The sequence below is a fragment of the Homo sapiens genome, chromosome 6 (genome assembly GCF_000001405.40).
Source record: "Homo sapiens chromosome 6, GRCh38.p14 Primary Assembly".
In the NCBI taxonomy this organism is placed as follows: domain Eukaryota; kingdom Metazoa; phylum Chordata; class Mammalia; order Primates; family Hominidae; genus Homo; species Homo sapiens.
Genome location: NC_000006.12, coordinates 33594700 through 33610667, shown reverse-complemented (window position 1 = coordinate 33610667; position 15968 = coordinate 33594700). Strand labels below are relative to the sequence as shown.

General features: G+C 51.4%; 9 annotated features.

Moving 5' to 3' along the window:
* Positions 27-612: an enhancer, noted in NCBI's record as "H3K4me1 hESC enhancer chr6:33577833-33578418 (GRCh37/hg19 assembly coordinates)". NCBI's record gives its function as "activates a minimal SCP1, AML or CMV promoter by ChIP-STARR-seq in primed H9 embryonic stem cells {active_cell/tissue: H9 hESC(primed)}" and the evidence as "EXISTENCE:reporter gene assay evidence [ECO:0000049][PMID:30033119]".
* Positions 613-1199: an enhancer, noted in NCBI's record as "H3K4me1 hESC enhancer chr6:33577246-33577832 (GRCh37/hg19 assembly coordinates)". NCBI's record gives its function as "activates a minimal SCP1, AML or CMV promoter by ChIP-STARR-seq in primed H9 embryonic stem cells {active_cell/tissue: H9 hESC(primed)}" and the evidence as "EXISTENCE:reporter gene assay evidence [ECO:0000049][PMID:30033119]".
* Positions 2128-2670: an enhancer, noted in NCBI's record as "H3K27ac-H3K4me1 hESC enhancer chr6:33575775-33576317 (GRCh37/hg19 assembly coordinates)". NCBI's record gives its function as "activates a minimal SCP1, AML or CMV promoter by ChIP-STARR-seq in primed H9 embryonic stem cells {active_cell/tissue: H9 hESC(primed)}" and the evidence as "EXISTENCE:reporter gene assay evidence [ECO:0000049][PMID:30033119]".
* Positions 3271-3777: an enhancer, noted in NCBI's record as "NANOG-H3K4me1 hESC enhancer chr6:33574668-33575174 (GRCh37/hg19 assembly coordinates)". NCBI's record gives its function as "activates a minimal SCP1, AML or CMV promoter by ChIP-STARR-seq in primed H9 embryonic stem cells {active_cell/tissue: H9 hESC(primed)}" and the evidence as "EXISTENCE:reporter gene assay evidence [ECO:0000049][PMID:30033119]".
* Positions 5941-6440: an enhancer, noted in NCBI's record as "H3K4me1 hESC enhancer chr6:33572005-33572504 (GRCh37/hg19 assembly coordinates)". NCBI's record gives its function as "activates a minimal SCP1, AML or CMV promoter by ChIP-STARR-seq in primed H9 embryonic stem cells {active_cell/tissue: H9 hESC(primed)}" and the evidence as "EXISTENCE:reporter gene assay evidence [ECO:0000049][PMID:30033119]".
* Positions 6441-6942: an enhancer, noted in NCBI's record as "H3K4me1 hESC enhancer chr6:33571503-33572004 (GRCh37/hg19 assembly coordinates)". NCBI's record gives its function as "activates a minimal SCP1, AML or CMV promoter by ChIP-STARR-seq in primed H9 embryonic stem cells {active_cell/tissue: H9 hESC(primed)}" and the evidence as "EXISTENCE:reporter gene assay evidence [ECO:0000049][PMID:30033119]".
* Positions 10448-10948: an enhancer, noted in NCBI's record as "H3K4me1 hESC enhancer chr6:33567497-33567997 (GRCh37/hg19 assembly coordinates)". NCBI's record gives its function as "activates a minimal SCP1, AML or CMV promoter by ChIP-STARR-seq in naive H9 embryonic stem cells {active_cell/tissue: H9 hESC(naive)}" and the evidence as "EXISTENCE:reporter gene assay evidence [ECO:0000049][PMID:30033119]".
* Positions 10949-11449: an enhancer, noted in NCBI's record as "H3K4me1 hESC enhancer chr6:33566996-33567496 (GRCh37/hg19 assembly coordinates)". NCBI's record gives its function as "activates a minimal SCP1, AML or CMV promoter by ChIP-STARR-seq in naive H9 embryonic stem cells {active_cell/tissue: H9 hESC(naive)}" and the evidence as "EXISTENCE:reporter gene assay evidence [ECO:0000049][PMID:30033119]".
* Positions 13624-13673: an enhancer, noted in NCBI's record as "active region_24366". NCBI's record gives its function as "activates an Ori minimal core promoter by ATAC-STARR-seq in GM12878 lymphoblastoid cells {active_cell/tissue: GM12878}" and the evidence as "EXISTENCE:reporter gene assay evidence [ECO:0000049][PMID:35858748]".

The window sequence follows — 15968 nt, the reverse complement described above, 5'->3', positions numbered from 1 at the left end:
ACCAAACCCAGCCTCTAACTTTTGAGACAAGCAATCTGGGGTGGAGGGCTGCATTCTGCCACTTGACAAATATTTATTGAGTCTGCACTGTGTGCCAAGTGCTGTACAGGATGCTGGGGTACTATAGTGACCCCAAGTAGACGCAGCCCTGCCCTCTTGGAATTCAAGTTTGGGTGCAGGTCTGAATCACTTACCTAAGTTATATTGCAACTTTGCCATGTGCTGTGGGAGAGTACGGTGTGATGATACAAGACTGGAGCTCTCCCAAGGGAGGCTAGAGCAGTAGGGGATGGGTGGGGAGGTAGGGAGAGGCAGGAGGGATTCCCTGAGGAAGTGACACTTGAACTGACATTCCAAGCATTGGGGAATGGAAAGTGAAAAGGCCCAGAGGCAGGAAGGAACACAGTGAACACGCTCCAGGAAGGAGCAAGCAGCGCAGCTGTAATGGAGCAGGAAGGGCCCCGGCAAGAGATGGGGCTGAGGCCAGGCAGGACCTGGAGCCACAGGAAGGGATTGGTCTTTGTCTTAAGCAATGAGAAGCCATGGAGGGCTTTTGCCTGGGAGGACTGGCTGGTAGCTGGGTTTTGAAGCCCACTCCCTGTCTCTGAGTGCAGCACTGCTGGGAGGGGCTGCCACAGGGTCCAGGCAGCAGGTGCTGGGGCTGGGTGTCGGGGAGGGAAACAGGAAAGGAGAGAAGGGGGCAGATTCAAGGGAGTCAAGAGCAAATTACAGCGGTCCTTGGAGATAACAGGATATGGGGTGTGAGGATGACTTTTCTGCCCTCTGGGGCCCCTAGACTGAGGGGGTGATGGGGCATGTCACAGTGTAGGAGCTGACAGAACCAGACAGGCTGTCATGCTTGGGGAGGTGGCTTTCATTCTCTCTCCACACCTGCTTCCCCTCCCCAGCCTCCCAAGGGCCTTGGGACGGGCAGGGCATCCGCCTGGTTCACAGGAAAATTCTAACCTCCTGAGTCCACATTGTGACCACGCCAGTCCCTCCTGGAATCCCGGGCAGGGAAGGAGTCCAGTGGCTTAATCATCCTGCTGATTAACTGATGCATGTGGCAGGCCAGCCAACGTCCTCCTCCCTTCTGACCCTCATCCAGGGTGGGTGGGACTCCTGGGAGAGCAACTCCGAAGAAAGCCCTGCGCTGGCTGCCCACAGATTGCTCTTTTTCTTTTTAATTAAGAGACTTTATTTTTGCAGAACAGTTTTAGGTTTACAGAAAAATTGAGCAGATAATGTAGAGTTGTCATATACCCCCCTCCCCCTCTCACAGATTCCCCTATGATTACCGTGGTGCTCTGGTGTGATATGTGTGTTACAACTGTGGAAACAATATTGATACATTATCATTAATGAAACACCACAGTTTGCATGAGGGCTCATTTTTCTTTTTGTGCAGTTCCATGGCTTCTGAAAAATGTGCAGTGTCATGCATCCATTTTTACAGTATGCAGACAGCTTCACCACCCCAGGAGAGCAATTCCAGAGGAAACCAGCCAGGTGCTCTCAGTCCATAGACTGCACCCCACCCTCCCAGGCAATGCTACCCCGCTACCCTCACCACGGTGGAGAGCAGCCATCATGGAGACACCAGATGAGTGAGGAAATTGAGGCTCAGAGATGTTATTTCATTTGTTCATCATCACATAGCTGGTAGGAGCAAAGCTTGGGACCCTGGGTTCATTTGCGTTCCTCTAAAGTGGACGCTGAGGCCAGGACCTGGGGATAGCGGTTTATTTGGGAGAAGATCTCGGGAAGCACAAGCCTGGTTGGCACAGAGGCTCTACCCTGCTGGCGACATTCTCAGGGGCTATGCCCTACAGCTTCGGGTTGTCCCACCAAGGGGCGGGAGAGCCAAAGTGGGGAGCAGGTTGTTTAACCACTAACTCCTGTGCTTTTTGGTTGAGGGTAGTACTGGGGACGTTAATCCCAGCGTTCCCATGTTCCTGTGGAGAGGGAGGAAGCCCAGGACAGAGGAGCAGCCTAGTAGAGCCCATGGAAGGACTCGGAGGGGCGCTGAGGGCCAGCCTAGGTCCTCTGCTTTTTCCTCGGCATCTCCAATCACTCATTCATCCCATAGACCCTCAGTGGGGGCCTGCTGTGTGCCACCCCTGTGCGGGGCTCATTTCACAGGAAACATTGGGATCCCTGTCACTTTGCTGCAGGAAGCAGCAAAGTGTGGAATCTCAGGGTCCCTGGAAGGGGGTCCCCAGGGATAGAAGGTCCTGTGATCAGTCTCCTTGAGCTCCAAAGGGTGGTTCCTAGAAGACAGAGATGGATTCCTGCCAAGCACTGCCCCCACTCAGCCTGAGTCCCCGGGTGAACCAACCCTGAAGAACCACTGCGCCGGCAGTCTCCTCTCCCCTCCCAGCCAAAGCAGGGGCATGAGGGGGAAGACTCCCCAAGGGCCTTGGTGCCCCTGGTTGCCATGACCCCCAGTTGCAATCCAGCTCCTGACCCCCTGCAAGCCCGTGATAGACATGGATTGGGCCAAGCTGAACATCAGCAGCTCCTTCCTGTGGTTGGCACTGCTGTCATTCTATGCTCTATTTCAAAATGTAGCCACTCCCAGGAGTGACCCCAGCGTACCAGCAGCTCTCTGTGTTTGTCCAGAGTTGGCTGGGAGAGCGGAGAGAAAAGCTACCCAGGGTGAGGCACGTGGGGAGGATTCAGAAGGGAGGAACAAATAACCAACCATCGCCAACACCTGATGCCCGCCCCTAGGTGGTGCCATGGTGCTTGGGTGTGTTGGTGCTTAGTCTTAACTCATTCTAGTCCCCATTTTACAGATGAGGAAACTGAGGCTTACCAAGCTGTTGGGACTTGCTGCTGATCAAACAGCTAATGGATCATTCCCATGCTCCAGATGGGGAATGGAAACTCAGCTGTTTAACAGGTTGGTGAAGGCTGTACAGCCAGCAAGGCATCCTCATTTTTCACATATGGAAAGCTCAGGGAGGTGAAGGGGTTTGCTCAATGTCACAAGCTAATAAGTGACAGAGCTGTGACTTAAACTTGGGTCTGCTTGTCGCCAGAGCCCGGAGGCGTCACCTCCATGCTGCAGAAGGGTCACAGCTGGGGAATCTGGGAGGAGAATCTCTTTTCACTCAGGAGCTATGCCCAGACAAAGGCAGAGCAGCCCGGCAGAGGACCCCTCACAGACCCTGCCCCGAACACTTCCCCAGCAGTGGCTGGGAGGAGCCTCGAAGCTGGGACAGGGACTTCACCAAGGCCTGTCTCCAGCCTCCAACTGCAGCTGCCTCCAAGATCTCTGATTCCACCTTCCAGTGGGGGCCCCTGGCCCACTCCCTCCATCCTGAGCCAGACAGGCCTTTGAACCCAGGGTGAGTTTTCTCTGGCACCACAGTCTGTGGACCACACACAGGCTCCACCTGTCCTGCTCCCAGCCAACTCCAGTGCCAATCACTGAGATTCATTAGCTCTCCCTTTGTCCCACACACAAAAGGCACAGGAGGAAGCCAAGATGTTAGACAGCAGGGAGGACTTCCAGGCTGTCGGGAACGGAGATGTGAAGATTGGGTGACAGAGGTTGTGATGTTCTTTGAAAAAGGAAAATGCAGGAATGCAGCCTGCCTGACTAAAATCCCAAGTTCAGGGGCTCCAGACTCTCCAGACTGATTAACCTTTTTATTTATTTATTATTATTTTTTTTTTTTGGCCTTTCCAGCTCTCTCCCTTCAGGGCCTGGGTGCTGGGATTGGGAACTGGAAGGTTGCCTCTGGAACCTGTTCAGACCTCCAACCAGGACCACACCCGACAGCTCACATTGTTCCCATTCATAGTCAATAATAATTAGCATTTAGTGAACACTTACTACAGGCTCTTTATGTCTATATCAACTCACTTAATCCCCAAATGGCCCTATGGGAGGGGTACTATTATTAGGCCTACTTGACAGATGAGAAAACTGAGGCCGAAGGCCCTCCACAGGACTCTTCATCTTCCCAATGTCTGCCCATCCCTCAAGGCTCAGCTTAAATGTCTCCCTTCCTGAAAGGTCATGCCAGGGACCTCTAGCCTCTCTCTTTTCTGCTCTCCACAATGCAGTCAGTGCTTAGGGACCACCCCTGTTTGGGGCCTAGGCTCTCCAGGCCAACCTGCCACTGCCTAGCTTTTTTTTTTTTTTTTTTTGAGACAGAGTCTTGCTCTGTCACCCAAGCTGGAGTGCAGTGGCGTGATCCTGGCTCACTGCAACCTCCGCCTCCCAGGTTCAAGCGATTCTCCTGCCTCAGCCTCCCCAGTAGTTGGGAATACAGGCACCTGCCTCTGTGCCTGGCTAATTTTTGTATTTTTAGTAGAGACGGGGTTTCACCATGTTGGCCAGGCTGGTCTTGAACTCCTGACCTTGTGATCCATCTGTCTCAGCCTCCCACAGTGCTGGGATTACAGGTGTGAGCCACCACGCCCGGCCAGTATAGCTCTTAACCTTGAACAAAAGCCTTCTCTAAACCTCACCTTTCTTATCTGTCAAATGGGGATTATGAAGTAACAACTGTAGAGGACAGATACTGTTTGGATATCTCATGTTGAAATGTAATCCTCACCAGGGGCAGTGGCTCACGCCTGTAATCCCAGCACTTTGGGAGGTCGAGGTGGGCAGATCACGAGGTCAGGAGTTCGAGACCAGCCTGGCCAACATGGTGATAACCTGTCTCTACTAAAAATACAAAAATTAGCCGAGCATGATGGCACCCACCTGTAGTCCCAGCTACTTGGGAGGCTGAGGCAGGAGAATCGCTTGAACCTGGGAGGCAGAGGTTGCAGTGAGCTGAGATCGCGCCACTGCACTCCAGCCTGGGTAACAGAGCTAGACTCCATCTCAAAAAAAAAAAAAAAAAAAGAAATGTAATCTCCAATGTTGGAGGTGGGGCCTGGTAGGAGGGTGTTTGGGTTAAGGGGGTGTATCCCTCTTGAATGACTGGTGCCCTCATGGTAATGAGTGAGTTCTTACTCTGGGTTTGTACAATATCTGGTTGTTAAAAAAAAATGTGGCACCTCTCTCCTTGCTCTCTCTCTTGCTTCCTCTTTCACCATGTGGTATGCCTGCTCCCCCTCTGCCTTCCACCATGATTGGAAGTTTCCTGAGGCGCTCACCAGGAGCAGATGCTGGTGCCATGCTTCCTGTACAGCCTGCAGAACTGTGAGCCGATTAAACCTGTTTTCTTTATAAATTACATGGTCTTAGGTATTGTTTTAGAGCAATGCAAGAATGGACCAACAGGGGAAGAAAACTGGCACCAAGAGTGGGGCATTGCTATAAAGATACCTGAAGATGTGAAAGTGGCTTTGGAACTGAATAATGGGGTAGAGGTTGGAAGAGTTTGGAGGGCTAAGAGGAAGATAGGAAGTTGAGGGGAAGTTTGGAACTTCTTAGAGACTGGTCAAATGGTTGTGACCAAAATGCTGATAGTGAGATGGATAGTGAATGCCAAGCTGATGAGATGTCAGATGGAAATGAGGAACTTATTGGGAACTGGAGCAAAGGTCACCCGTGTTATGCCCTCGCAAAGAACTTGGTTGCATTGTCTCCATGCTGTAGGGATTTGTGGAAGTTTCAACTTAAGAGTGATGACTGGGGCATCTGGTGGAATAAATTTTTAAGCAGTAAAGCATTCAAGATGTGGCCTGACTGCTTCTAACAACCTATAATCAGATATGGGAGCAAATAAATGACTTAAAGTTGGAACTTATATTTAAAAGGGAAGCAGAGCTTAAAAGTTGGGAAACTTTGCAGCCTGACCATGTGGCAGAGAAAGAAAAAAGCATTTTCTTTTCTTTTCTTGAGATGGAGTTTTGCTCTTGTTTCCCAGGCTGGAGTGCAATGGCATGATCCTGGCTCACTGCAACCTCCGCCTCCTGGGTTCAAGCGATTCTCCTGCTTCAGCCTCCCTAGTAGCTGGGATTGCAGGCGCCCACCACCATGGCGGCTAACTTTTTGTATTTTTAGTAGACTCAAGGTTTCACTATTTTGGCCAGGCTGGTCTTGAACTCCTAACCTCAGGCAATCACCTCAGCCTCCCAAAGTGCTGGGATTACAGGCGTGAGCCACTGTGCCCGGCTCATGAAAAAAGCATTTTCAGAAGAGGAATACATGCAGGCTGTGGAGCAATCACTTGCTAGAGAAAATTTCAAGACTAAAAGGGAGCCAAGTGCTAATATCCAAGACAATGGAAAAAAAGGCCTCGAAGGCATTTCAGAAATCATTAGAGGCAGCCCTCCCATCACAGACCCAGAGGCCTAGGAAGAAAGACTGGTGTCCTGGGCCCGGCCCAGGGTCCTGCTGCCCTGCTCAGCTTTGAGACAGTGCTGCACACATCCCAGCTGCTCCATGTCCAGCTGTGGCTCAAAGGGCACCAGGTATGGCTTGGGCTGCCATTCTGGAGGGTGCAAGCCGTAAGCCTTGGCAGCTTCCATGTGGTGTTAAGTCTGCATGTGAACAGAGTGCAAGCATGAAGGAGGCTTGACAGCTTCCCCCTAGATGTCAGAGAATGTATGAGAACGGCTGGGTGCCCAGGCAGAAGCCTGCCACAGAGGTACAGCCTGCCACAGGGGAGGAAAGATGTGGAAATGGAATCCCCACAGAGTCCCTATCAGGGCACTGCCTAGTGGAGCTGTGGGAAGGAGGCTGCCATGCTCCAGACCTCAGAATGGTAGAGCCACAGGCAGCTTGCATACTGAGCCTGGAAAAGCTGCAGGCACTCAGCTTCAACGAAGAGCACCCACAGGGGCTGCACCCTCCAAAGCCACAAGGGCAGAGCTACCCAGGATGTAGGACATGGAGTCAAAGGAGATTATTTCGGAGCTTTAAGATTTAATGACTGGGCCGGGTTCCGTAGCTCATGCCTATAATCCCAGCACTTTGGGAGGCTGAGGGTGGTGGATCACCTGAGGTCAGGAGTTCCAGACCAGCCTGACCAACAAGGTGAAACTCCGTCTCTATTAAAAATACAAAAATTAGTGGCCGTGGTGGCAGGCACCTGTAGTCCCAGCTACCTGGGAGCCTGAGGCAGGAGAATGGCTGGAACCTGGGAGGCGGAGTTTGCAGTGAGCCAAGATCGCACCATTGCACTCCAGCCTGGGGGACAGAGCGAGACTCTGTCTCAAAAAAAAAAAAAATAATAAAATAAAATAAAATAAAATTTAATGACTGCCCTGCTGGATTTAGGACTTGTGTGAGATGTCTTGACCCTTTCTTTTGGTAAATTTCTCTCTTTGGGAATAAGAATGTTTACCCAATGCCTGTACTACCATTGTATCTGGGAAATAAATAACTTGTCTTTGATTTCACAGGCTCATAGGTGGAAGAAACTCATCTCCGGGTGAGATCTTGGACTTGGGACTTGGGACTTGGGACTTTTGATTGATTGATGGTGGAACAAGTTAAGACTTTTGGGGACTACTGGGAAGGAATGATTGTGTTTTGCAATGTGAGAAGGATATGAGATTGGGGGGTCATGGGGCAATGTGATATGGTTTGGATATCTGTCCCCTCCAAATCTCATGTTGAAATGTAATCCCAAATGTTGGAAGTGGGGACTGGTGGGAGGTGCTTGGGTCATGGGGGTGAATCCCTTATGAATGGCTTGGTGCCCTCCTAGCAGTGATAAGTGAGTTCTTGCTCTGAGTTTGCATGAGATCTGGTTGTTTAAAAAGAGTGTGGCACGGGCCGGGCACGGTGGCTCATGCCTGTAATCCCAGCACTTTGGGAGGCCGAGACAGGCAGATCACCTGAGGTCAGGAGTTTGAGGCCAGCCTGGCTAACACGGTGAAACCCCGTTTCTACTAAAAATACAAAAAATTAGCCAGGTGTGGTGGTGTGTGTCTGTAATCCCAGCTATTTGGGAGGCTGAGACAGGAGAATTGCTTGAACCTGGGAGGTGGAGGTTGCAGTGAGCTGAGATTGTGCCATCACACTTCAGCCTGGGCGACAAGAGCGAGACTCCATCTCAAAAAAAAAAATAGTGTGTGGCACCTACCACCTCTTTCTCTCCCTCACTGTCTCTCTTACCATGTGAGACACCTGCTCCCCCTTTGCCTTCTGCCATGATTGGAAGCTTCTTGAGGCCCTCACCAGGAACAGATGCTGGTGTCATACTTCCTATACAGCCTGCAGAACCATGAGCCAATGAAACTTCTTTTCTTTATAAATTACCCAGTCTCAGGTATTTCTTTATAGCAATGCAAATGGAGTGACACAAGGACTCTGGTGAGTACTCAATAAGATAACAGACATTGAGCCCAGTGATCCGTTCCTGGCACAGAGCCAGTGCTTAAGAGTCAGGTCATCGTGGCTAAATTTATTATATGTGCTCTCTTATTATTAATAGTACTTCATTATCCTAACTCTGTGGATTTCACCTCTCAGTCTGATTATAAGTTTGTTGAAGACTCATCTTGGTATCTCTGTCTTGGTTTGGGGTCCCCAGAATGCAGACCCTGAGACAAAGGTCAGAGGACACACACATGAATGGAGGTGGCCACGGCAAACACCAGCAGAGGAGTGAAGAAGTGAGGCAGCGGAGGGAAGGATGCCAAGAATGGAGGTGTCATCGAACCAGTTACCTCTGGGGAGCTCAGGGAGCCAGGTGAGAATATGCCTCAGAGTTGACCCAAGCAAGCTGCCCGGCAGCAGGGGGTTTCTAGTTTAATTAATTAATCAATTATTTTGAGACAGCGTCTTGCTCTGTCATCCAGGCTGCAGTGCAGTGGCAATATCAAGGGTCACTGTAGTCTCAACCTCCTGGGCTCAAACGATCCTCCTGCCTCAGCCTCCCAAGTAGCTGGGACTATAGGTGCGTGCCACCACGCCCAGATAATTTTTTACTTTTTGTAGAGATGTGATCTCATGTTTCTCAGGCTGGTCTCAAACTCTTGGCCATAAGCAATCCTCCTGCCTCAGCCTCCCAAAGTGCTGGGATTATAGCAATGAGCCACTCTGCACCCGGCCTGTTTTTTTTAGCAATATCTTTTGGCCAGGCACAGTGGCTCATGCTTGTAATCCCAGCACTTTGGGAGGCCAAGGCAGGTGGATCAGCTGAGGTCAGGAGTTCGAGACCAGCCTGGCCAACATGGTGAAACCCCGTATCTACTAAACAAATACAAAAATCAGCTGGGTGTGGTGGCACACGCCTGTAATCCCAGCTACTTGGGAGGCTGAGGCAGGATAATCGTTTGAACCTGGAAGGTGGAGGTTGCAGTGAGCCGAGTCACGCCACTGCACTCCAGCCTGAGCAACAGAGTGAGACTTGGCTGGGTGCGGTGGCTCATGCCTGTAATCCCAGCACTTTGGGAGGCCAAGGCAAGTGGATCACCTGAGGTCGGGAGTTTGAGGCCAGCCTGACCAACATGGAGAAACCCCACCTCTACTAAAAATACAAAATTAGCCGGGCATGGTGGCTCATGCCTGTAATCCCAGCTACTAGGGAGGCTGAGGCAGGAGAATCGCTTGAACCTGGGAGGCAGAGGTTGCGGTGAGCCAAGATCACGCCATTGCACTCCAGCCTGGGCAACAAGAGTGAAACTCAGTCTCAAAAAAAAAAAAAAAAAAAAAGATCTTGCTCTGTTGTCCAGTGGCAGGATTATAGCTCACTGCAGCCTTGGACTCCTGGGCACAAGTGATCCTCCCACCTCAGCCTACCGAGTCACTAGGATTAGTTATGTGCCACCGTGCCCAGCAGGGTTTTTCATCAACTGCTGGTCGGTCATTGCTTGAAGGCTGCTTCTGGGGTCTTAACTCCCTGGCACCTCCAGCCTGCCCTGTGGCCATGACCAGCCAATCTCCCACAGCCAGAAAAAAGACCTTCGGGCAGAGAGTTGCTAAAGAGCTCAGTAAACAGCTTTCATAGGTGGGGCAGAAAGCTGAGGGATGCAGGCAGCGCATCCAGGGCAACTGCTGCAGCTTTCTCCCAGCTGTCATCTATCTGTGTGTTCATGTAAGCATGTATGTGTGTATTTGGACTGGGTTTCACAGTCACAAGGAACGTTCAAGTGGTACAAAGGCAGACAGAGTGCTGGGCATGGTGGCTCACGCCTGTAATCCCAGCACTTTGAGAGGCCGAAGCAGGTGGATCACGAGGTCAAGAGATTGAGACCATCCTGGCCAACATGGTGAAACCCCGTCTCTACTAAAAATACAAAAATTAGCTGGGAGTGGTGGCACGTGCCTGTAGTCCCAGGTACTCAGGAGGCTGAGGCAGGAGAATCGCTTGAAGCTGGGAGGCAGAGGTTGCAGTGAGCCGAGATCGCGCCACTGCACTCCTGCCTGGCAACACAGAAAGACTTCATCTCAAAAAACAACAACAACCAAAAGGCAGACAGGCTGGGCGCGGTGGCTTATGCCTGTAATCCCAGCACTTTGGGAGGCCAACATGGGCAGATCACGAGGTCAGGAGATCGAGACCATCCTGGCTAACACAGTGAAACCCTGTCTCTACTAAAAATACAAAAAAATTAGCCAGGCGTGGTGGCGGGCGCCTGTAGTATCAGCTACTCGGGAGGCTGAGGCAGGAGAATGGCGTGAACCCAGGTGGCGGAGCTTGCAGTGAGCTGAGATCAGATCATGCCACTGCACTCCAGCCTGGGCGACAGAGCGAGACTCCATCTCAAAAAAAAAAAGGTAGACAGAAAAACATCTCCCTCCATCAGCCCTAGACATTCCCTTCCCTCCAGAGGCACCCCTTTTCCCAGCCTCCCTCCCACATGCCCTTCTCTTGCCAGTCAGTCTTTCTAGTGTTTACTCCAGCCCCAGCCACATCTAAGGCCTCAGTTCCCCGAGGCCAGGATCCCTGGTGACAGCTCATCCTGTCTTCATCCGGTTCTCGCCCTGCTCAGCCAGTAGGCCAGGGATAGGAGCTCAGGCCTTGGAGACGTGGGGTGCCAGAGGCTGAGGGCAGGGCCTGGCTAACGGCCAGCATGGGCACAAAGGCAAACATCAGGGACATATTGGTCCTGGCCAAACAGTAGGGACTGGGGTGGGACATGCTGCTAGCGGCTCATCTGTCAGGTGCGTGGCTGCTCACTGCCATCAGGGTTGGCCAAGTGCTTTCTGTTTACCCCCTGGGGGCTGGAGGAATGATGGGCAGCCTGCCTCACTCCCTCACTGCATTTTCAGAGCCCAGTGAGCCATCACCCAGCTTTGGGTCCAGTCCAGCAAGGGTTCAGCCTAGGAGCCGTGGTAGGCAGGGACTAAGGAATGAACCGGGAAGGGCTTTGAGGCAATGTTCTGCTTACTACAGTCGGCCCTCTGTATCTGTGGCTCCACATCCACAGATGTAAACCAACTTCCATTTGAAAATATCTGAAAAAAAAAACACACAAATTTTAAAACAGTACAGTATAACAACCATTTACATAGCATTTAAATTGTATTCAGGGCCGGGCACAGTGACTCACACCTGTAATCCTAGCACTTTGGGAGGCTAAGGCAGGTGGATCACCTGAGGTCAGGAGTTCCAGACCATCCTGGCCAACATAGCAAAGCCCCGTCTCTACTAAAAAATACAAAAATTAGCCGGGTATGGTGGCAGGTGCCTATAATCCCAGCTACTCGGGAGGCTGAGGCAGGAGAATTGCTTGAACCCGGGGGGTGGAGGTTGCAGTGAGCTGAGACTGTGCCACCGCACTCCAGCCTGGGCAACAGAGTGAGACTGTATCAAAAAAAAAAAAAAAAAAAAAAAAAAAAAAGGCCTGTTGGGGTGAGAGGGGCTGGAAACCGACACCTAGTCTCTCAGGTTCAAAAGAAGCTGAGCTGCAGCCAATCATAGAAACCCAGCCAGGGCAGGGACTGTTCACAGCTGTACTCCCAACAGCCTCTCAATAGAGATTTGTTGGCCAGGTGCAGTGGCTCACGCCTGTAATCCCAGCACTTTGGGAGGCAGAGGCAGGCGGACCACCTGAGGTTGGGAGTTCGAGACCAGCCTGACCCACATGGAGAAAACCCATCTCTACTAAAAATACAAAATCAGCCAGGCATGGCGGTGCATGCCTGTAATCCCAGCTACTCAGGAGGCTGAGGCAGGAGAATTGCTTGAACCCAGGAGGGAGAGGTTGCGGTGAGGCGAGATTGCGCCATTGAACTCCATCCTGGGCAACAAGAGCAAAACTCCGTCTCAATCAATCAATAAATAAAAATACAAAAAATTAGCCCGGCATGGTGGGGGGCGCCTATAATCCCAGCTACCCAGGAGGCTGAGGCAGGAGAATAGCTTGAACCCAGGAGGCAGAGGTTGCAGTCAGCCAAGGTCACTCCATTGCACTCTAGCCTGGGCAACAAGAGCGAAACTCTGTCCCAAAAAAAAAAAAATTAAAATAGAGATTTGTTGACTGAATGAGAAGTTTGGGGAGCATGTTGGGGAGGAGTAGGGATCTGTCCTGGCCCCTGCCCCTTGCTCCTCTCTGCCTTGCCTCCGCACAGGGTAGCTGCCAAGGTGGCAAATGCCCAGCCCCTTGCCCACTCCAGGGGCCCATCCAGGCCCTTGGGCACTTCCTGAGTAGCAGGACACGTCCTGCCCTTCGTGCCCATGAAAGGAGGCAGCTTATCAGAGGGGAAAGGACACTCTGTTCAGGCCTGGCCATCTGCCTGGGCTGGAAGAGCCATGTCTAGGAGCTGGTAAGCAGAGCAGACCTGGGTGGAAGGGCCTGGGGAAAGCAGACAATTGAGGCTCTGTGCCCCAGGCCAGGCCAGGACCCTAGCCTCTCTCAGGGTCCACTCAGCCCCTGCACTCCTTTCTACCATCCTATCTTCTCTCCATTCCCTTCCTACTTCTCTGACTCCTAGTAAGGTTTTTCACTCACTCCATTCATTCAAGCACTATTTAAGGAATATTTTATGTTTGATTTTTGTTTGAGACAGTGTCTTGGTATGTTGCCCAGGCTGGTCTTGCTCAAGTGATCCTCTGGCCTCAGCCTCCCAAATAGCTGGGACTACATATGCAAGCTATCACGTCTGGCTCTATTTAAGGAAAACTTTATATATGCTAGGCAGCTGGGCTTACAGCAGCAAACAAAACAGGCAACAATGCCTGCCCTCATGAAACTTACATTCCAGTTAAGAGAGACAGACAATAAGCATATAAATAAATTAAATATATAATATGTTAGATGATGAAAGTGATCTGAGGAAAGATAAAGCAGGGCAAAATAGGCAGGACACGGTGGCTCACGCTGTAATCCCAGCACTTTGGGGGACTGAGGCGGGCAGATCACTTGAGGCCAGGAGTTCAAGACCAGTCTGGCAGCATGGAGACCAGCCTGACCAACGTGGTGAAACGCTGTCTCTACTAAAAATACAGAAATTAGCTGTTGAAGAATAAAAAAATAACCTCGTTGCCCAGGCTGGTCTCAAACTCCTGGGCTCAAGTGATCCACTCACCTTGGCCTCCCAAAGTGCTGGGACTGATTGCAAGTGTGAGCCATGGCACCCACTGCCTTTTTTTTTTTAAACATTATGTGGTTTAGAAATACCCCTTTAGAAAGTGACAGCTGAGCAGAGGCCTCAGGAAGTGAGGTAGTGAATCACATAGACTCCCAGAGGCAGGGCCTCCAAGGCCGAGCGAACAGCAAGGGCAAAGGCCCTGAGACAGGATAAGCTGGGTGTGGGCAAGGAACAGCAAAGAACCCAGGGTGCGACTGGGCACAGTGGCTCACACCTGTAATTCCAGCACTTTGGGAGGCTGAGGCGGGTGGATCATTTGAGGTTAGGAGTTCGAGACCAGCCTGGCCAATATGGTGAAATCCCATCTCTACTAAAAATACAAAAATTAGCCAAGCATGTTGGCACATGCCTGTAATCCCAGCTACTTGGGAGGCTGGGGCAGGAGAATTGCTTGAACTCGGGAGGCGGAGGCGGAACCCAGGAGCCAAGATTGTGTCACTGCACTCCAGCCTGGGCAACAGAGCAAGTGAGACTCCATCTCAAAAAAAAAAAAAAAAAAAAAGAACCCAGGGTGGACAGAGCACGTAGAACAAGAAGGAGAGCAATAGGAGATGGGGTCATAGACGTAGGAAGAGCCAGATGCCAGGGGCCTTGTCAGCCCTTGAAGGACTGGGGTGATGTGGAGTCAGCACAGGAGTCTGGACAGAGGCCTGATGCTTTAAAATCACAGTAGTTCAGGGACATAGTGCTTACTATGTGTCAGTCTCCTTCCTAGGCACTGAACATGCATTCAACCACTTAATCCTCCCAATTCTTTATTAAAGATGAGGAAAGCCTGGTGCGGTGGCTCACGCCTGTAATCCCAACACTTTGGAAGGCTGAGGCGGGCAGACCACCTGAGGTTGGAAGTTCGAGACTAGCCTGACCAACATGAAGAAACCCCGTCTCTGCTAAAAAAAAAAATACAAAATTAGCCAGGCATGGTGGCGCATGCCTGTAGTCCCAGCTACTTGGGAGGCTGAGGCAGGAGAATCGCTTGAACTCAGGAGGCAGAGGTTGCAGTGAGCTGAGATTGCACCATTGCACTCCAGCCTGGACAACAATAGCAAAACTCTGTCTCAAAAAAAAAAATAGATAAATAAATAAATAAATAAAAAGGTCAGGAAACCGGCTGGGCGCAGTGGCTCACACCTATAATCCCAGCACTTTGGGAAGCCGAGGCAGGCAGATCACCTGAGGTCAGGAGTTGGAGACCAGCCTGACCAAATGGAGAAACCCCATCTCTACTAAAAATACAAAACTAGCTGGGTGTGGCGGTGCATGCCTGTAATCCCAGCTACTTGAGAGGCTGAGGCAGGAGAATCGCTTGAACCTGGGAGGCAGAGGTTGCGGTGAGCCAAGATCACACCATTGCACTCCAGCCTGGGCAACAAGAGCAAAACTCCGTCTCAAAAAAACAAAAAAAAAACCCAACCAAACAAAAAACAAACAAAAAAAAAAGATGAGGAAACCGATGTGCACAGAGGTTGAGTGACTCGCTCAGGGTTATTACATGGCTAAAATACAGAAGAGTCAGGCCTCAGCGTGGCTCCAAGAGTTCAGGCTGAGATGCGCTCCATTTCCCTCCATCCAGCAGGCGATTCTCTGGGCTTTCCTCTAGGGCAGGGTTTCTCACCCTCAGCACTGTTGACACTTTAGGCCAGCTCATTCCTTGTCATGGGGGGCTGTCCCGTGCATTGTAGGATATTTAGCAGCATCTCTGGCCTCTACCCATTTGATGCCAGTAGCACTCCCCCAGTTGCGACACCAAGATGTCTCCAGGCAATGCTAAATGTTTCGAGGGGCGGGGGTAAAATTGCCCCCAGTTGAGAACCACTTCTCCTCTGTTTTCCTGTCCACTCCACCTGCCACTGTCCCAGCTCAGGTCCACTCCTCTCTCACTGTGACCATTGTGAAGGCCTCCACATTAGCCCCTGCCCCCTCGCTGTACATCTTACCAGGCCACTCTCCCAGGTCTCCGGCCCTCGCTCCCATTGCCCTGAGGATGAACGCCAAGCTGCTTAAGTTGGCTTTTAAGGCCCTATGTAATCCAGCCCCTGCCTGCTTCCCCCGCTCTCACCCACCCCTATTCACAAGCGTCCTTCTGCAAGCCACCCTCTGCTCATTCAGTCTAGTGCCATATATTGAATCTGACACCATGCTGGACACTGCAGACAATGGAAACAAAGCTCCCCCAAAACCCCCGCCCGCACCCCCAGGGCCTGCCTTCATGCTGTGTTTGTCTCCCCTGGGGAGAGCAAGTAAACACATGCAGTGAATCCTGTTAGCCCTAAAACCAGGGAGCTGTGAGGAAACCAGGGCTGGAGTAGGTGCCATGGCTGAGCTGTACAGGATGGGTAGGGGTTATAGAGGGGGAGAGAGGAAGAGAGCCAACGGCACCCTGGCAGTGGTGAGGCAGATGCAGTGAGAGGATGGAAGGCTAGGGCGGTGATTTAGGGCTCCAGCAAAGGCAGTGAGAGTGGGGGTGTTGAGCGGGATAGATGGTAGAGAGAAAATAAGCTAAACA